Here is a 20888-nt window from a genome sequence, read left to right as displayed (position 1 = left end):
TGTACACATATAAATTGATAAAACACTCACTGACATTGCCTGCCGTAGTCCTTGGAATTCCAGGTTTTCTGCCATTTACTATCAAGGCCACACTTAATCAAGGGTCAAGCCTTGACAAAATGGCATTGAGAGACATGATTCGTAACCCTTTGTATTCCCCAAACTGCTTTTTCTTTCGTGGAAAGACTAGATCGTAAGGAAACTCATTTGCAGGGCACCCTCGGGCAGCCAGTCCCTGTGCTAAGAGCTAACATTCTGAATCTCACTTTGTCTGCACATTGATGGGAGGCCTTCTTAGTCCTGTTTGATATGGGAGGGAGTTGAGGTCAAAGAGCAAGTAAGAACAGAGGCAGAATTTGAACCCCAGCATTCCAGCAGGCAATGTGTCTTTATTCATTTTCTGATGCTTATAACAGAATACCTGAAACTGGGTAATTTATAAAGATAAGGAATGTATTTCTTATGGTTATAGAGGCTGAAAAGTCCAAGGCCGAGAGACTGCATCTGATGAGGGCCTTCTTCCTGGTGGGGACTCTCTGCAGAGCCCTGAGTGGGTGCAGGGCATGACATGGTGAGAGAGCTGAGCATGCCAGCTCAGGTCTCTCTTCCTCTTCTGATAAAGCCACCAGTCCCACTCTCATGATAACCCATGAATCCATGGGTGAATTAATCCACTCATGAGGGCAGCGCCTCTTAAAGGCCCCACCTCTGAATACTGCAACATTGGTGTTTAAATTTCGATGCGAGTTTTGTAGTGGACAGACATTCAAACCATTGCATTGTATTAGCTTCAGAACTTCTCAAGTGCACACAGAGATGATATGATTTTAGCTTCTGTCACTGCCACTGTGGAATGTTTTAGTGCTTTTCCTCTCTACCCAGTTCTCAGCAGGTTCAACCCTCCACTCTTGCCCCCTGCTTTGCATTTTGCTACCACTTCGTAGAGATTTTCTTAGCATTGTAGAGAAAGTCCCCTGGTAGGGACATACCCAGCCCCTGAGACTTAGTCTTTAAGAGCACTCTGTTGATATTGTCAAAGAATCAACTCCATTGTTGGCCTTTTTCCAGCTGAAAGATAATGCGTCATTTTTGTTTGCTATGTGGAATTGCTTTCCAAGACCCCAGAAGAGAAACATGGAAGAAGAAAACTCTCAGTAGTCAAGGTTATATGATCGGATTCCCTCCTTACTGGGTCCAGCCTCACACAGCTTCCGTGTGGTGCTCAAGGGTTTTGAGGAGTGCCATACCCCGGGCATTGGGTCAGTCCCCCTAGACACACTGTCTCTGAGGAGCTAAGGCTCCAAGGCTCTCCCAGAACTGAGCAGGATCAAGTAATCAGAGAAAGGGAGGTTGCAGCCTGGACAAGGTCAGGACAAGCACCAGGAGGGTGTCCCAGCTATGACTGTGGTACCAGAATGTCACTCAGCTGTGCAAGGCTTTAGCTGCATTGCCTGGAGGGTTACCAGGCTCATGGAAGCTTGTTGCTCATAGAAGATGGTCCCTGTTGGTCCGTTACCACCTCTTTCCCCATCTTTGTGTTTGTCTTACCTGAGGCATATTGTCCAACTTGCTTTTTCCCCTTTTAATGTTTTTCTCTTTGTCTCTCCTCTTCCTCCTTCATCTCTCCCACCCCTACGGGGGTGGATACAGACTTTCTGTAGAACCAAAGAATCTCTGTTGGGTTGTGCTTTTTTAAAAATTTGTTAACTAAAAATTATTAGCAAAACTTATTAGCCAAATATAGAAAATATTCTCTCTTCTTAATTAAAAAAGTTAGATGAATAGACCATGTAATTCTTAAAATTTAAGACAAAGTGACTTTGTCTTTCATTGACTTTAATTTTTTAAAAAAGAAAAATTATGGTCACTTATACATTGGAGAAAGTTTGTCATATTTGATGTAAATGAATAGTTGTAAATATAGGAGGGGAAAAAAGATCTTTGGCCCAGTCATAACACATATAATGCCAGTTTCCATTTCCTTACTGAGTTTTGTGCTAAAGGATTTCCTTAAGAGTGCCCGTGTTAAGTTTTTGTAAAATCACTATACAGAGCCTTTGTTTATTTAAATCTGTAAAAGGTGATTGTTGGACATTTGCCATCTAACTCATGTTTCCATAACATGAGAGCTGGATTCTGACAGTCTTAATACTGTTTTTAGCTTTTGCTTTACAGATACCCTTATGTCCAAAGAGTAAATGCATTAAAAATTTTAAAAACCACACACACGCAGAGAACTGTTTTAATTAGGTACTGAAGACTTTTCTGAGTACTTGTTTTAGAAAATACTCTTCTTTTACTTTCTGTAGCCTCAACATATAGGGTCCCTTGGGGATAATTTCTGAAATTCTTTTTGTGAGGTAACTTTGTTTTTCTTGTTTCTTTATAAATTTCTCCACAAAGACACAATTATCTTGGGTCTTCCTAATTCATCATCTGATTATCCTTTTTTAAAGTTCAACTTAACAACAAATATTGCTCACATGTAAACAGTGATGACAATTTGAGGCCATATAAGCTTGTTTTCTTTTTGAAAAAGAAATTCTAGCTTAAAATTTTATTTTGTACTTGATATTTCAGGTCCTCATCTCACATCCATATTAGTAGCCCTACAGTGGTCCAAACCGAAATTGGTCACTGGCCCATCTGGAAATATGAGAAAAATTGGGCATCTTTCTCTCAGGAAAATGTACATGTACAAAACCCCGCACCCATTTCAGGGGTTCATAGCTCCTCCGAGCTAACAGGTTAAGATTGCCCTAGGTTATTAATTTTCTCTTCATAAAGACTGAACACTGCTTCTGGGGGTAGAGTGAGGGGAAAGGTAAGGGATTGGGCAACATTCCTGCCCTTTATTCATTAAGAGAAATTATTTTTTAAAAGTAAATATAGTGGTCTAAGTTCCCATTTTATTTTGAAAAGCTGCAGTTTAGGTGCCTAGACCAAAAATGAAAATGACACCACATGTGCAATAGTAATAATGGGTCTAAATTTGAAGTGTCTTTGCTCTCAGAGAGGCTTGCAGAGTTTGGTAAGTGCATGTTGCACCAGGCGCCATGGCTTACGCCTGTAATCCCAGCACTTTGGAAGGCCTAAGTGGGAGGATCACTTGAGCTCAGGAGTTCAAGACCAGCCTGGGTAGCATAATGGAACCCCCATCTCAACAAAAAAGTTTTAAAAAATTAGCCAGGTGTAGTAGCATGCACCTGAATAGTCCCAGCTACTCAGGAGGCCAAGGCAGGAGGATTGCTTGAGCCAGGAGGTCAAGGCTACAGTGAGCTGTGATTGGGCCACTGCACTCCAGCCTGGGTGACAGAGTGAGACCCTGTCTCAAAAAAATTTTTAAACAAAATAAATGCATCTTTCGACGCACAAGACATTTAAGCTTAGTTTTTTTCTGCTTTTAGTGGTTTTTAAAACTGTATCAATGTTGTGAGTAAAAGTTATGGGTCATTATTCACTTCTCATTTTCAAAGAACTTCAGTTGAAAAGTGATTTAGCTGAAAAGTTTTGATGGTTGATTTCTTATACAAACAGATTTGCCTAACCAGTCAGTAAAGCAATTCACAAGACTGTCCCTGAGTTTTATTAGCCTTGCTTGCTTATTTCCCCAAATCTTAGATGAAAAATACTTGAATATTCACTAGGCCTAGTAGAAAGAAAAGACATTTTCTCATTGTCTGAGGTGGATGGAGCAGTTGTTTAGATTTGGAAATCAGTTATTGCAAGAGCTCTCGCAACAAAGCCAGGCTTCATGCCTTGCACTATAATTACGTTTAGAAAATCATTTCATGATCAAGTATTAATTTGTGAAGAAGCTTTTGAAGCAAAAAAAAAAAAGTAGAGCTTTTATGAATTAGAGAAATTTATGTTAGACTGTTTAGAGTTGTTTTTTGTTAGGTTAAATTTCCGCCAAGTGTTGATGTCAGTCTGTGTTCTTCACTAACCCTCTCTCCCCATCATTCTCCTTTTTTTCTTTTAAGTGAAAATATCTTGACCCCCAACTTTTGGGGCCCTCAGCCATGGGCATTCCCTAGTTTCCAAACAAACACGGTACCCGTCCCTCATTCCACCCCCACCACCAGAAAACAGTTCTGTTTGGTTTATAGGGAGGAAAATGATTATTATGGAATTAGGTATGCTAGTTATTGAATACTTGGAATTATATTGTTTGCTTTTAAAATTACCTTAAGGAAATAACTTCACTGTCTGCTTCTAATAATGTTTAGTCATTTATTTGGTAAGTAATTAAAGCACCATCACTCTCCTGCCCTCGTCTTCAGGTGATAATCTAGACATAGAGGGAGTGAGCCAACAAGTTGCTGTTAGAGTTAACTTGTTCCCTAACCCATCTTGTGAATATCAATGCTAACAACAGTGTCTTGTGTTTTTTTTTTTTCTTTTCTTTTCTTTTTCTTTAAATCAATGTGCTTTTTTCCTATGTGAATAATTATATGTCTAGAAACAGCCATGGAGTGATTTTGCTGTTCTGAATGGGGGAAAGATTAATAGTGACATTTGGAAGGCAAGTATATTGTCAGATCTTAGATCATTTAATATTTTATCCTTTCTGCATGGCTGTGGCTGTATATTTTTCTTCTTTGTGAATATCATGCATTCTGCAGGGACACAGTGATCGGGCTTCTTGCTAGGGGCATTCAGCTCACACTCCTGTTGCCTTTTTTTGGTGTCTCCCATTGTGAATGCCCTAGGTTCCCCGTTGTTTTGTAAGAACAGGAGTTTGCACCAGTCAGCATTCAACAGTCCTTGCATGCCTTTCTCTGCCTAAGCTCACGTACACTCTCTGCCTCTTGCTGGGAAGACGTTTCTCCCCTTTGATATTTGAGGCAATGAATGGTCTTCTCCCCCATTGTACATTAACAAGGTTCTATTTTCCTCTAGGATTTGCATGCAGCCACTGTTAACCCGGACCCCAGTTTAAAAGAGTTTGAAGGAGCAACCCTACGCTATGCATCTTTGAAACTCAGGTAGGACATTAGTAGGATCGACCTGCTGTCAATGTATGGCTTTGTGCAGATAGTTTGCAATAGAATTCTAAGTCCACTTTTCTGTTTTTCTGCCTAGAAATGCCCCACACCCTGATGATGATGATTCTTGTAGTATCAACAGTGACCCAGAAGCCAAGGTTTGTAAAGACTTGCTTTCAGCCACCAGGTTATATTCTTAGATCCAAATAATGACTTTGGATCATTGTCCAGTTTTTACAAACCATCAACCCAGAGCCATTTAATAAGTAATTATCCCTCAATTTTCTCTTTCCTAATCTCCCTGACACTTGAAGAAAACCCCTAGGCTAAGTTAGGTTTGGGGGGATTTCTAGAACCATCAAGACTCTGCCTGTATCTCACTACGTCAGCTCTTTGCACAATGTAATAAATTACCATTATTGTTCAAATGGGTGGGCTTTAGAAGTCTTTAAAGATACACCAGGCTCTGCCTTGCAAAGCAATGGGAGAGGAAGCTAAACAGGTAGGGTGTGAGACCCCTCCCACCTACCGCCACCAGAGCAGCCTCATATCTGTGCAAGGTGAAATCTCTTTGCCATTCCTGTCATAAACACAGATTGGATAATTAGGTTTTATGATGGAAAACTGGGGGCAGTTGGGGCAAACTTGTGTCCATTTTGTTTCTGGACTTCTGGTAGGTTGCTAACAGAGCCAGCTTTCTGGGCATGTGGCCAGTGCAGCTGCACAGGCCCCACAATGAGAAGGCCCCTGTGTGTGGGGATGAATGCTTCAAGGTTGCTGTCAGGAAATTCTTAATCTTTGAATTTGTATCTTATAAGTCAAGTCCAATGGAATGTCCATGAGAGGGCTGGGCTTTGGATTGCACACAGTCCTGCCACCTCCCAGCGTCCCTGTGCGGTTCTCACCTTCTGGCCCCCCGGCATCTCAGGCCCTGCCAGACCTCCCTATCTCCCTCCCTACGTAGAGACTTCTACTGCCCTCTACCGCGGAAGAGACATGGGTGTGAGCACGGGAGGGTTGGGGTCAAGTGCACACTCCCTGGGTATCTTGGGATTGGAGCGTGGTGGTGACCAGCCCAGTCTGGGCTGGCAACACTGCTGTGTGTTCCACAGGCGACTCAGTGGGGGTGAGCCTCTTGCCTACCCGCAGTCCAGGCACCTAGCATGTCCCAACACTGATGTTGCAATACATTTATGGGCCACCCATCTGCTGTGGGTTGAGATTGTGGGGCCATGGGAAGAGAGGGTTCCTGGCTTGATTTACCCGCCCCTGATCAGTGCATGGTGCATCTGTCCAGCAGCTGATGGGAGAGGGTACCCAGAAGCCAATGGTCTGTGTGCAGGTACCAAGATATGGACAGGGCCCTGAGTGTTTGTAAGGGTTTGCACTTACAAGTATCCCCATGCCTGAGGGATTGTAACATTAAATAGCAATTAAAAAACACATTAACGGCCAGATGTGGTGCCTTACGCCTGTAATCCCAGCACTTTTGGAGGCCGAGGGCGGCGGATCACCTGAGGTCAGGAGTTCAAGCCCAGACTGGCCAACATGGTGAAACCCCGTCTCTACTAAAAATACAAAAATTAGCCAGGCTTGTTGGCACATGCCTGTAATCCCAGCTACTCAGCAGGCTGAGGCAGGAGAATCACTTGAACCCAGGAGGCAGAGGTTGCAGTGAGCTGAGATCGCGCCACTGCACTCCAGCCTGGGTGACAGAGCGAGACTCCATCTCGAAACAAAACAAAACAAAACATCTTAACAAGCCAAGAGAAAGCATACGGAAGAAAGGAAAAACTTTTATGTTTTATTATTGTTTGTAGCGTCTTCCCCCTGCTTTTTGAACGGGGCGGGGGCTTGCATTTTCGTTTTGCATTTTTCATTTACAAGTTATGCATCTGATCTTCGGTGCTAACAACCATGGAATTCCACCTTGTCTACTTCAGCACCTTCCCCTCCCCTCCCCTTCACCCTCCTGTGCCATGGAGAGAGAAAGAATCTTCCCAGATTCTTTTTTATTTGTTCTGAATCCCAAAGCAGATCTGTGTCTACAAGTAACATCGCAAATAGGTTTTCTTAGTAGCACTTAAGAGGGGAACACCATACAGGTTCAAAACCTTGACTCCTTTGCCAGAAACTGCCATATTGCCAGTTGGTTCTGTAAGTATCTTAGGGCTTGCAGTGAAATCTGTGCTGCTTCTGGTCAAGTCAGCTTTGTTCTGAGCACAGCCAGTAATATCATGGCCACTCTAGAGCCAGTGGCATTCTGAACAAGTCCTTGGGCTGCTTCTAACATTGCTGGTCTTTAAAGATAAATTTTATGGTAAGGAACGCAGGTTGTGAACAATTTGCTTTGCTACTTGATGTTTTACAAATTCTATCAGCAAAGGCTGGAAGAGGAGCAGTGAATATCTCTGTCCACCACTAAGGGCTGGGGCAGTGATGTATGTGGAGCCAGGGTGTGAAATTGACAAGAGGGAAAGCATGGAATGGAGATGGAATTGTAATAGGAATAGGAGGACTGGTTCCATTAAATCCAAGTCAGTGGGTTGGGCTTTCTCTTTTTCCCTTCCGGCTGTGTTGCTTACTGAATTCTTTATCTGCCACCTTTTTATTGCCAGCATGTCTATTTCAATGCCTGTTATGAGTCTGTTCACGTTAGTAAGGAAGCTCAGCTTTGTCTTACGTTCCTAAAGCTGTGCTTAGTTTTAAACAACAACAAAAAATACATGCATTGTATTATTCATCTGTGTCTTACTTTGTTCCATAGAAGATGTGAGGAGACTTCTAAGAACAAACACTTTAAAAAAAAAAAAAGGGCACAGAAAATATAAGAGAATAATCAGTGCATCAGTCTGGGCTGGAATAATATAGAGAGTAAGGAAAGATCAGCCTAGGGAGAATGAAAAACCTACAGCTTTTCAGATCTCAAGATTTGCACAGCTGCTAACATGGACCTGCAGGTGGGGTTTTCTGTGTGTGCCTCCTGGTGATTATTTAACCTGAGGATTTTTAGCATGAATGGAATGAATGCCTAGAAGGGCTCATCAGAATCTTGAAAGGACTTTTGCAAGCTGGTACAGTGGCTTGTGCCTGTAATCTCAGCACTTCGAGAGCCCAGGAGTTTGAGACCAGCCTAGCAACATAGCAAGACCTTGTCGCTACAAAAAAATAAAAAAATAGCTGGGTGTGGTGTCCCATGCCTGTGGTCCCAGCTACCTGGGAGACCGAGGTGGGAGGAGCCTGGGAGGTAAAGGCCGCAGTGAGCCATAATCGAGGCACTGCTGTCCATGAGAAGTCCATGAGTTCAGAGCTGACTTCAGTGAAGACACATTGGAGGAGCTTCCATCCCCTATCGGAGTCATTCCTGCCTGTTTTGTGTTGCCTGGGGGCCAGAGCCAGCACCTCAGAGGGAGGAGTGGCAAGACCTAGGCTTTCTGGATGTTCCAGTGCCTTTGTAGAATAAGTTACTCACCTTACATGACCCTTTACATTCTTGCAGTCCACCAAGAACCAAGGAACCAAGTGGTCCCCTCCCCCGAAAAATCCTGACTTTAAAAATAATATTTGGGCTGGGCACAGTGGCTCATGCCTGTAATCCCAGCAGTTTGGGAGGGTAAGGCAGGCAGATCAAGAGGTCAAGAGATCGAGACCATCTGGGCTAACACAGTGAAACCCCGTCTCTACTAAAAATACAGAAAATTAGCTGGGCATGGTGGTGGGCGCCTGTAGTCCCAGGTACTCAGGAGGCTGAGGCAGGAGAATGGTGTCAACCCTGGAGGCGGAGCTTGCAGTGAGCCGAGATTGTGCCACTGCACTCCAGCCTGGGCGACAGAGCGAGACTCCGTCTCAAAAAATAAATAAATAAATAAAAATAATATTTGATATACTATGGAATTCTAAATATAGTCTGTGAGGAATGATTACTTAAAAGTTATTATAGAAAATATCTTCCTTACTCCCTACTTAAAACTTACATGCTGAAAAAAATAAAAATTATTTTTAGACTGTCAGGATGGGGACACTTCCAAATCCTCTTCAGCTACTACTCTGAATCTGGGCACCTTAATCAGTTGTTCAGTGAAACCTCTAAATAGCAATGGCAACACAAAATCACCACACACATACACACGCATACGCGCACGCGCACGCGCGCGCGCGCGCGCGCACACACACACACACACACACACACACACTTCCCCAAAGAGCAAAGTCTTTTTCTAACTCTGAAAATGTTTTTTGAACCTACCAAAATTTTTATGCAGTAAAGTCTTTGTACTTGATAGCCATATATGTGTGTTTGTATATAATTCTGAGTCTCCTGTTTAACTTTTTATTTTGAAATAATTACAGATTTGTAGAAAAGTTGCAAATATTGAGTTCTCCTAGACCCCTTCACCTAACTTTCCCTAATATTAACTTCTTCATAATCATGGTACATCGGTCAAAACTAAGACATTAATATTGATATCATATTATTTGCTATAAACTTTATTCACATTTTCTCATTTTTTCCACTAATAACCTTAATCTGTTCCAGGACCCAGCCTAGGAGACTGTGTTGCATGTAGTGAGCTCTTGAAAAATTATTTCACATGCTCCTCTGTGTAGTCCTCGGCCTGGTCACTCCTAATTCCATGGTAATATTTCATTTAATTAATAGCACCGTAATCTGTCTAGGCACCAGTATCCATAGGAGGAGTTTTTCCCCCACTACAGAGCAGAGCTACAACTTCATAAAAATAGGTGACTTCTTTTTCTTTTAAATTATTGCTTTGGTATAGGTTGCTAAAACTGGTATTACTGGGGCAAAGGCTATCGGTTTTATTGCTTCTGTCACTTATTGCAAAATTACTTTCCAGAAAGCCTGCAGCAGCATATAATCCCATCAGTAATATCCTAGAGTACTCCTCTTTGTCCACGTATCAGTTCACTCTAGGCTTTGTCATTTGTATTTATTCATCTTAGTTTATTGTGTGTGAGCTACTACCCCCTAGTTTTAAAATTTCCCCTTATTGGCCCAGTGCGGTGGCTCACGGCCTGTAATCCCAGCACTCTGGGAGGCCACGGCGGGTGGATCACGAGGTCAGGAGATCGAGACCATCCTGGCTAACATGGTGAAACCCCATCTCTACTAAAAATACAAACAATTAGCTGGGCATGGTGGTGGGTGCCTGTAGTGCCAGCTACTTGGGAGGCTGAGGCAGGAGAATGGCATGAACCCAGGAGACAGAGCTTGCAGTGGGCTGAGATCGCATCAGCCTGGGCGACAGAGCAAGGACTCTGTCTCAAAAATAAATAAATAAATAATTTCCCCTTATTAAATTATCATAGACACAGGACATTTCCTCTGAAACTCTCTTTCTTTCCATTCCTGGCTGTTTTTTCCTCTTATTTTTCTATGCACTTTAAAAGTAAATTTTTATTCAGAAATAATTTTAGATTTACAGCAAAGTTACAAAGATAGTACAGAGTTCTCATAGCCCCTTCTCCAGATCGCCGTCATGTTGTATCCTACAGAATCACAGTACAAACAAAGAAATTAACATCAATAGAAAATTATTAATAAACACTGTATTCTGATTTTTAATAAACACTGTATTCTGATTTTACCAGTTTTTCTTCTAATGCCCTTCTCTGTTCCAGGATCTAATCTAGGATGCCATATTGCATTTTAGTCTCTATGCATGTATTCATTCGTTCGTTCATTCATTCATTCATTCGTTCATTTTGAGACGGGAGCTCACTCTGTCATCCAGGCTGGAGTGCAGTGGTGCGATCTCGGCTCACTGCAACCGCCGCCTTCTGGGTTCAAGTGACTCTCCTGCCCCTGCCTGCCGAGTAGCTGGGATTAGAGGTGTACACCACCACACCCAGCTAATTTTTTTATTTTTAGTAGAGACAGGGTTTCACCATGTTGGCCAGGCTGACCTCGAATTCTGATCTCAAGTGATCTATCCGCCTTGGCCTCTCAAAGTGCTGGGATTACAGGCATGAGCCACTGCACCTGGCCACATTTTTTTTAAAATTATTTATTTGAGACAGAGTGTCGCTCTTCTTGCCCAGGCTGGAGTGCAGTGGTGCAATCTCAGCTCACTGCAACCTCTGCCTCCTGGTTCAATCGATTCTCCTGCCTCAGCCTCCCAAGTAGCTGGGATTACAGGCATGTGTCAACACACCTGGCTGATTGTGTGTGTGTGTGTGTGTGTGTGTGTGTGTGTGTGTGTGTTTTCTTTAGTAGAGATGTTGTTTCATCATGTTGGTCATGCTGGTCTTGAACTCCTGACCTCAGGCGATCCCACTGCCTCGGCCTCCCAAAGTGCTGGGATTACAGGCATGAGCCACTGCGCCCAGTCCCCTTAACTTCAGAACTATCTGCTTCTGTAATCTTAGACATTTTCTTCAGTCAGTTCTTTTTCTATTTTACGCCACTTTTCCATGGAAAATGTTTTAAAACTTTCTATATCCAAGGCTTTTGTAGATGATTGCCCTTCAGGCCGCATTTGTTAAGAAGACAACTCCTTGGCACGTTTTAGGCGGCCAGGTAGCTTGCACTTCTCAATCCCCATCACCCGCTGTGCTCATGTTACTTTAATATCTTAGATTTGGAATTTAGCCCTTTTCCCGTGGCACATGGCTGACCAAATTCTTGATTAACATTCAAATAAAAACCAGTTACAATCAAATTGTAGAAAACTTAATGCTTTGAAATATATATACCGTTTTGTCAGAGTTCTTTTCTGTCCTTTGTGTAACTCCGCTCAGACTTCTGTAAAGGAGATGTTCTGCCACCTGGTGGACAATATTGAAAATTACATCTTTAAAGAAGAGGGGCTGGGCGCGGTGGCTCATGCTTTAAGTAATCCCAGCACCTAGGGAGGCTCAGGCAGGCAGATCTCTTGAGCCCAGGAGTTCGAGACCAGCCTGGGCAACATGGTGAAACCCTGTCTCTACAAAAAATGCAAATATTAGCCTAACGTGGTGGCATGCGTCTGTAGTCCCAGCTACTCGGGAGGCTGAGGTGGGAAGATCACTCGAGCCCAAGGAGGTCGAGGCTACAGTGAGCCATGATCGGCCACTGCACTTCAGCCTGGGTGACAGAGTGAGACCCTGTCTCTAAAAAAAAGAGGGGCAACATTTCATCTGGAATCAGAATTTCTTTTGCTTGGAAGTAACATTAGAGCCCATCTAATGGGCCTTTATTTTAGAGGTGAGAAAAATGAGTCATAGAGTTATTTGTGATAACAACTAGTTCTTGGTGGAGATGGCATTTGAAGATGGGTCTTCTGGGCCTCTGACCGCTCCATCCTGCTGTCTCTGTCTCAGTGTATAACACGTCATTTTCAATATATTTGTCAGGAGAGGTTTTTGGTACTGTTTTTAGAACCTTGTTCTTTGAAACACATAATTAAGGAAACGGGTAAGGAAGATTGTGCTGCCCCAGAGATTAAATTTTCTGGGTTTCAGCGTCCTCATCTTTCAAATGAATGTGTCATCAAATTAGAAGTCATTTCAGGTTCTGAGAAAATTTCAGATTTCAAATGAAATGTAGTAGCCCTGATCTGTGGCATCTGGAGATGAAATAGTCTGATCTGTATTTAAGTCTGGAGAAGGAAAGAGAGAGCGCCATGAACCAGGGCTGGCTCTTCTTTCCTGAACACTCACTGTGTGTGTGCCCTCCCCTCTGCCAGGCACTTACGTGCAATTTTCCTGCAAAAACAAGGCATTATAGTTATGTTTCCATATTGTAGATAAGAAACCGATGCTTAGAAGACGTCAATTTATCACACAGCTAGTAACTAATGGAACAGGGACTCAAACACAGATGCATTTGATTCCAAAGGCCAGGAAAGTGTCACGCCCACCTGTTCCCAGTTATCGCTTCTCTCAGCTTTAAGATCATTTTGGGGCCAGGCGTGGCGGATCACCTGAGGTCAAGATTTCGAGACTAGCCTGGCCAACATGACGGAACTCTTGTACCTACTAAAGACACAAAAATTAGCTGGGCGTGGTGGCACATGCCTGTCATCCCAGCTGCTTGGGAGGCTGAGGCAGGAGAATTGCTTGACCCTGGCAGGCGGAGGCAGAGGTTGCAGTGAACCAAGATCGCGCCACCGCATGCCAGCCTGGGCAACAGAGCAAGACTCCATCTCAAAAAAAAAAAAATCATTTTGGCAATTTGGGATTGGAGTAGCAGAGTTGTTGGAGGTGGGAATGGGTGAAGGAATTGGAAGGTCAGTGCTTGAGGACAGACTCCTTCTCACCCTCATCCAGACTTGTGGTCCAATCCTTTGCGGTGCTTTTCACACGTTACTGTACCTGTGGGCAAATTCTGATTCATTTGCTCTGGGGTGGGACATGAAATTGCATTTCTGTTAAGTTTGCAGGTGATACCAATACTGCCAGTCTACAAACAACACAGAGTAATAACATTATACAGTTGGAAACATGATAAAAAGAAGGCACCAATTTTGTGCAGCTTCTGCAGCGAAGTAGACATAGTCTTTCTATGCAGTATCTTCTAGTTCTTTTATGGCCATTTGCAACCAGTTCGCAGCTGCTCAGGAACTTTTTTTATTGGCACTGGATTTTGTGAAAGCTTTGTGTGCCTCCTTACTCTTTTGTTATAACTTACCTCAGATGGAGAGGAAGAGGAAGGAGATGAAACAAACCATCGGGTAGTAGGTTTGACGGAGCTTTCTGAACTGAATGGCGAATGGACATGAGATTCCAATATTCATCTGTGAGCTTTATTTATCTGTGCCCTCCCTTGGTTCCTATTAGCATAGATTTTCATGAAGTAATTATATTAGCAGCTACTGACTAGATTAGCACTAATAGATAAGCAGGAAGTAGTAGGGAAGTACCTTTTCTCATTCAGATTTATTTCTGGTCTGTGTAGCAAATTCATTGTCATTACTTAGCATTTATATGGGATGTTACAGCTGCATGTAGTTCTTATAATTGATTTTTATTCACGTGGTACAGGTTTCTTTCAGAAATCCTGATCTGTGTGGAAGTTTGGGTTTGATTTGCACTGTTGATTCATTCATTGAGTCAGAGACGTTTATTGAATGCTAAGTGCGAAAGGAGCATACATACTTAATGTATGGTGTGGTTAAGAGCATGGACTCTGGACCCAGACTGCCCGGGTTTAAAGCCAGGCTCTGCTGCTTACCAGCTGGATGACCTTGGGCAAGTTACCTACCCCCTCTGTGCCTCAGTTTCTTCATCTGCAAAATGAGGGTAATGATGGAGCCAACCTCACATGGCTGTTATAAACATTGAATTGACATACTATAAACACTATAAATATACATGTAAAGGTCTTGGAACAGTCCTTAGCACATAATAAGCATTCTTTATGCATTCGCCATTATACTGTTCCTACTACCAGAAGGAATGGATATGGCCCCTGCCTTCAAGTAATGGAGAAGAAACAAGCAAATTCAATGCACTGTACCAGGAGCTGAGCTACTGAGTCACGAATGGGGGTTGTTCCGGGGGCATATTCCATGGCTGGTTGAAAGGGGTGGCTCGGGTGGTTTCCCAGAAGGAGACGATACCTTAGCTAATAAGTATATTTGAATTGTCACTGGAGTTAGTGATTCCCTCTCCCCCCGCCACCATACTTTTCAAAAAATGTAAGTGTGGAAGCTTTGAAAATGATTTGATATGTAAATTTGTGTTCATTTTCAGCAAATGCTTTTAGGAACAGATCTGTTAAGATGAGGTCCATCTGTATTTGCCCAATACTGTGGATAACATTGTTTCTGTTATCTGTTCCTGCGTGCTATGTAGCAAACTGCACCAAAACTTCGTAGCTTAAAACAATTATTTATTTTGCTCAGGATTTAGTGGGTTCCAGAGTCTGGGGAGGGTTTGGCGGTGCAGTTCCTGCCTGATCCACATGGGGGCGGCCGGAGCTGGAGGATCCTCTTCAAAGATGGCTTCTTCTCCAACCTGCTTCCTGGCTCAGTGCTCCTCCTCACGTCCTCCAGGGCCTCTCCATGTGGCTTGGTCTTCTCATGGTGTGGTCTCTGGGTAGGCAGTTGTACTTTTTACCTGGTGTCCAGCTTCTAAGAAGCAGGAAGGTGAAGCCACCAGGTGAGGAAAGGCTCTTCTTGGCAATGGCAGCATGTCACTTCCACCGTATTCTGTTGTTCAGAGTTGTCAGACTCCACTTCTTGATGAGACGTGGCAAGTTCACGTTACAAGGAGCGCATAGGACGGGAGGTTTTAATGCAGCCATCTTTGGGAGGTACAATCTGCCAAACATGTCATTCCCACATTTCAGTCATTCAAAATTAGTGCCTTCAGTACAGGGCAGAAAATAGCAACATGGTTGAATCACGAAACCAAGGTCCAGAGCCAGTGATGGATATATCAAGTCCTGGCTGAATGAGATTCAGCCTCTCATGCATGGCTTTTAGGTTGGCATTCACAAGGGGAAAATAAGGATCATCTCATTCCAGCCTTAGGAAAAGCAGAAGGCGCAGAGAAAGTAACCTGCCCAAGCTTGCACAGCTGGTCGTGGCAGAGCAGGACCCGAAGCCAGGCTCCCTGACCCTTGTCCATCCTGCTTTTCCGTTGAGTGGTGCAGACACTCACTGCCATTGGCCTTGGCTGCTCATTTTGCCTCCTATCCCGGAGGACAGCTTTTGTGTTTCTAAAACTGTTTTCCTCCCTTTATTTGCCAACTCGGCCAAGCATAATGCCGTGTTCCTGGCAGAAGCACGGTGTTATTTCCCTTATTAACTTCTGGTCACTACACTTGCCTGAATGAGCGGTCGAGGAATTGGCAGCCGTGTGTGAGTCCCCGAGTTTTGAAGGGTGCTGTTGAAACAAGATGCATTGTTGTCTAACTCTTGGCAGCTGCGCCCTCTGATGGGCAGATGCCTGGAAAAGCTAATGAAGGAAAGGCAGACTTCCCTCTTCCCCTGAAGGAATGAGGTAGGAAACAGGTGAGGAAATGGGCACCAGCCAGCCGCGGTGGCAGCAGCCGCCATCCTGATGGCACCAGAGCGGCAGGTGTGTGAACCTGGCCTGGTGGGTTCTTGGCACAGAATTTTGGGCCATGAATAATCACAGAACTGAACAGCCTCGGGCAGGAGTAGCCATGGGACATCCATTCAGCAGGTCTGGGTGCTCCAGGAAGGCCAGCTGGTCGAGACCTGGGGGTCCTGAAGCTGGCATTCCAAGGCCATCTGGAAAAGAGCCAGCACGTCTCAGAACTTGTTCTCTCAGGCTTGCTGCCTGAGAGCTTAATGCCAGATACTGGTATTTAGATAGTGATGAAAACATTTCTGCTTTATTTGCAGTTTAAAAATTGATGGAGAGGCTGGGCACGACCGTGGCTCACGCCTGTAATCCCAGCACTTTGGGAGGCCGAGGCGGGCGGATCACAAGGTCAGGAGATCGAGACCATCTTGGCTAACACGGTGAAACCCCGTCTCTACTAAAAATACAAAAAATTAGCCGGGCGCGGTGGCGGGCGCCTGTAGTCCCAGCTACTCGGGAGGCTGAGGCAGGAGAATGGCGTGAACCTGGGAGGGCGGAGCTTGCAGTGAGCCAAGATTGTGCCACTGCAATCCGGCCTGGGCTAAAGAGCGGGACTCCGTCTCAAAAAAAAAAAAAGAAAAAAATTGATGGAGAACTGATGGTTTTTCCTACAGAACAATTAGATTAATTCAGATGCTGGCTGGGTGCAGTGGCTCATGCCTGTAATCCCAGCACTTTGGGAGGCCGAGCGGGGTGGATCCTTTGAGCTCAGGAGTTCAAGACCAGCCTGGCCAACATAGTGAGCCCCCTTCTATAAAAAAAAAAAAAAATACAAAATTTAGCTGGATGTGGTAGAATACACCTGGAGTCCCAGCTACTCAGGAGGCTGACGTGGGAAGACGACTTGAGCCTGGGAGGCAGAGGTTGCACAGAGCCGAGATTGCGCCACTGCACTCCAGCCTGGCCAACAGAACCAGATCCTATCTCAAAAAATAAGTAAATAAATAATTCAGATGCCAAGCCATTTCTAGCTAAGCCACAATACTTTGTCACTTATAGGATTCCTATTTAAAATCTCATCCAATTGTGAGGCCCTATAGCTAAGTCACAAAGATCAAGGTCTGAGTTCTCCCTCTGCTTCTGACTCGTGCTTATAAGAAAATCATTTCAGTAGTCAGCCTTCCACATTTTCAGACTCTAAACTGACACCAAGAGTGGCAGCTCTCAACAGCAGTCTGCAGTAGATTCATCTGTTCACTCGGCATGTATGTATTCAATAGCTAGTACATACATAGCAGGGTAGTAGATCAGTCAGACTGGGGAAGGAAACAAAATAATGCAGCAGAGACAATGCTAATATCATTTAAGAATGACAATTACAGTGCTGCTGGAATTGAAGAAGTAGCTTGCAACTGCACTGCAAGTTGGATTTCTGTTGCTTCATGTTGAAGCAGTTCGGTTAGATGAGTTCACTAAGCCCTAACACATAAATAATTTCACTTAGCTTTAGGAGACCCTCAGACTAATGATCGCTTCATGAAAGGTGTATTTAGTTGTTGAATCCACACATTCCTACCCCAGATCTCTAGCCAGACATGCTTAGTTCCCCCTCTGTTGTTGGCACCAATAGGATATGTGTCCCTTTCGATCCATGATGGTCTCATTCTCTCGGCAGACACGCTGCTCAGGAAGGGGCAGAAAGGTCTCCACCAGGGTCCCACTTTTCTGCCCCAGCCACATTACCAATGGTCAGGTTGAACTGCAAGCGACCCTTGTCTCTAGCAAAGCTGGAAAATGGACCCGTGTAAATGACACATGGAACCCAGAGCCGAAAGCATGTGATTTCTCAAAAAGTGCTTCTCCTGAGAGCCATGCTTTTTTCAGTTACGAGCTCAGATGAGATTGCAACCTAGAGCGTATTTGTAGAAAGTACTTAGTTTTTTTCTCCTCTTCACCAATGCAGTGGGCCAGTGTCACTAAATAAATAAAGCAAAATGCTACATCAGGCTCATCTCTTCTCTTCAGATATTCTTATGCATCTCACCGTGTTTTGGTTGAGAGCTAGAAACAATGGAATGAATGGGCATCCAGTGTCGACCTTCATCATTTGGCAAGAGTAGAGGATGGATGGAGAAGGAAATGAACATTTCTTCAGGTCCAGCCGTGTGCTGGTCGCTCTGCATGCATCTGTCTGATTCTCAGAACCACCATGCAGGGGAGATGAAGTTATTATTCCCATTGTACAAACGAAGAAACTGGGATTCCGAGAACCTAAACAACTTCCTTAAAATCACACATATATTATGTGGGTGAACTGAAATTTGAACCCAAGGAGGCAGGCTCTAAGGCCTGTGTTCTTCCCCGTAGTACAATAATGATTATGTTAGCCGATGTTCATAGAGCATTTAGCATGTATGGGCACAAATACAAAAAGGTGGTGTGAGGCCATTATGGACAAGTTCAGTTTTCTGTCTTTCAGTTTTATCACCACTTCTGGAAATGCTGCCACGAGCCTCACAGTGCTCTGTTCTCCCACAAGCCTTGTGAGGGTCTCTTATTTTGAGTTGAGGGAGCCGAGGCACAGAGGGTTCGGTGGCTTGATCACTGTTCCACTGCTAAATGGCAGAGCTGAGATTTGAACCCAGGCAGTCTGGTTCCAGAGTCCAAGCTTTTCATTGCTGGGCTACCCTTCCTCTCAGTGTAGGTCAGCCCGTCCCTGGCCTTGTTTTTTGTTTTGTGTTTATGAGATGGAGTTTTGCTGTTTTTGCCCAGGCTGGAGTGCAATGGTGTGATCTCGGCTCACAGCAACCACCGCCTCCCAGATTCAAGTGATTCTCCTGCCTCAGCCTCCTGACTAGCTGGGATTACAGGTGCATGCCACCATGCCCAGCTAATTTTATATTTTTAGTAGAGATGAAGTTTCACCATGTTGGCCAGGCTGGTCTCGAACCACTGACCTCAGGTGATCCACCTGCCTCGGCCTCCCAAAGTGCTGGGATTACAGGCATGAGCCACTGCGTCCAGCCCGGCCCTGCCCTGCCCTTTAAAGCCTGCATTTGGTTTGGTCCCCTGATTCCCTGTGGGGTTGTTGTGGTGGGAGTTCTGTTCCTTAAGCTCAGGTTCACCTAAAGACATGTAACTGTTTTAAAGATGGAGAGGTAAGAGAAAATGCAGTTTTGTGTATGTGTGTGGTTTGTGTTTGTGTGTTATTAGTCTGTTCTGATGCTGCTAATAAAGACATACACGAGACTGGGTAATTTATAAAGGAAAAGAGGTTTAATGGACTCACTGTTCCACATGGCTGGGGAGACCTCACAATGATGGCAGAAGGCGAAAGGCACATCTTACATGGCAGCAGGAAAGAGAGAGGGTGTGCAGGGGAACTTCCTTTATAAAACCATCAGATCTCGTGAAACTTACTCACTATCATGAGAACAGCATGGGAAAGATCCGCCCCCATGATTCAGTTACCTCCCACCATGTCCCTCCCATGATACGTGGGAATTATAGGAGCTACAATTCAAGATGAGATTTGGGTGGGGACACAGCCAAACCATATTAATGACATACCCGAGCAGTTGACTCCCAGTGAATGACAAAAGAGGAAAAAACAGCCAGAGAATCTTTGTCCCCAGTGCAGGGCCGTGGTACAAGTGGAAAGATGATGAAGCAGGAGCAGCAATACCTGGGTTCTAGCCCCCTACTGTCAGCAATGAGCCGTGTGGCTAAACCTCTCTGGACTTCGCTTCTCTCATCTGTAAAATGGGATGACGCTATTGCCTAGTCTGGGAACCTCACAGTGTTGCTGCGAAGATGAAACAAGACGTGTTGTAGAGATGCTTTGATAATCTACAGCCTACTCTAAACATCAAGTATAATTTTTGTCTTCCAAAACTGTCCTCAAAATATTTTCATGTAATGGGTCCCAGCAGTCCTGCCAGTCGGGGTGAGTTAGCCGTTTGGGCGGCTGTGTGGACAGAGTCACCTAGAGGCAATGTGGGGCTTAGCCCAGTCCCAAGTGTGTACCATTTCTAAGGCCACCTCATTCTCTGAGCCTGGGAATCATGATGTTAGCAGTGTTTTACAGTATGTCATAGCTTAAATTAAGCAGCATGGATTTCTTTTTTTCCAGAGAAATTTAAAGTGGGAAATGTCTGGCAATAAACTGGTTATTAATGAGGATGCATTAAAATGTAGATAGCACCTGATGACGTGAGAAATGCACCTGATGATGTGAGAAAGTTTTCACGTAACTTCCAGATAGGTGACCGTGAGGACATGTGTAAAGAAGTTCCTATATGTTAATGGGGGTGTTTGTCGCCTCCTCTTATGGACAAAACAAGCCTTGAAACAATTTTTCACTGGTTATATTTAGTAAGTGCATGTGCGTGCCTGTGTAGATTTTTTACTTAACGTAGAATGAATTACTGTCCCTTTTTCTTTACTCTGGAGCACATTTACGTAAAGCACTTGCCAGTTCAGACTTATTTAGTGGTTCAGCCACAATGGAAAGGATGCCTCTTGAGTTTATCTTACCAGCCTTCCTTTCCTTGTACCCCTGGTGAAAGCCCAGTCTGTTCTCAACCTCCAGAGGCCTGCTTGAAAAGACTTCAGCTTTAGTCACAGGGGTTTTATACTAGCTAAAAAAGAAAAAGAAAAAGAAACTCACCTCAAGGCTCTATATAAATGTAAAAATGGAAATTGCAGCCAGGCATGGTGGCTTATGCCTGTAATCCCAGCACTCTGGGAGGCCGAGGTGGGAGCATTGCTTGAGCCCAGGAGTTTGAGACCTGCCTGAACATAGTGAGACCCTGTCTCTGTTAAAAAAAACAAAAACAAACAAACAAAAAAAAAAACAGAGAAAAAATAAGGAAGGAGGGAGGGAGGGAGGGAGGAAGGAAG

At 44.1% G+C, this 20888-nt stretch overlaps 1 protein-coding gene across 51 annotated transcripts in view, besides 1 other annotated feature; it reads left to right on the top strand.

Moving 5' to 3' along the window:
- The window catches only part of APBB2 (amyloid beta precursor protein binding family B member 2), a 404516-nt gene that overhangs the window by 274941 nt on the left and 108687 nt on the right, over positions 1-20888 (top strand). For 32 of the 51 annotated variants that reach the window (XM_047450181.1, XM_047450169.1, XM_047450175.1 and 29 more), the window contains 3 exons: positions 4463-4525; positions 4903-4988; positions 5086-5146. In XM_047450181.1, the coding sequence (XP_047306137.1) occupies positions 4463-4525; positions 4903-4988; positions 5086-5146 (210 nt within the window). The remainder of the gene's footprint in view (positions 1-4462; positions 4526-4902; positions 4989-5085; positions 5147-20888) is intronic. The other 19 variants (XM_047450191.1, XM_047450187.1, XM_047450190.1 and 16 more) reach the window with 1 other exon arrangement.
- Positions 15476-15770: a silencer, noted in NCBI's record as "tiled region #7650; K562 Repressive non-DNase unmatched - State 20:ReprD". NCBI's record gives its function as "represses a minimal TATA promoter and a strong SV40 promoter by Sharpr-MPRA in K562 cells {active_cell/tissue: K562}" and the evidence as "EXISTENCE:reporter gene assay evidence [ECO:0000049][PMID:27701403]".

Source organism: Homo sapiens, chromosome 4 (assembly GCF_000001405.40).
Source record: "Homo sapiens chromosome 4, GRCh38.p14 Primary Assembly".
NCBI classification, from domain to species: domain Eukaryota; kingdom Metazoa; phylum Chordata; class Mammalia; order Primates; family Hominidae; genus Homo; species Homo sapiens.
Note: the sequence above shows the minus strand (reverse complement) of the source record. Positions and strands in the feature narration are given on the sequence as shown.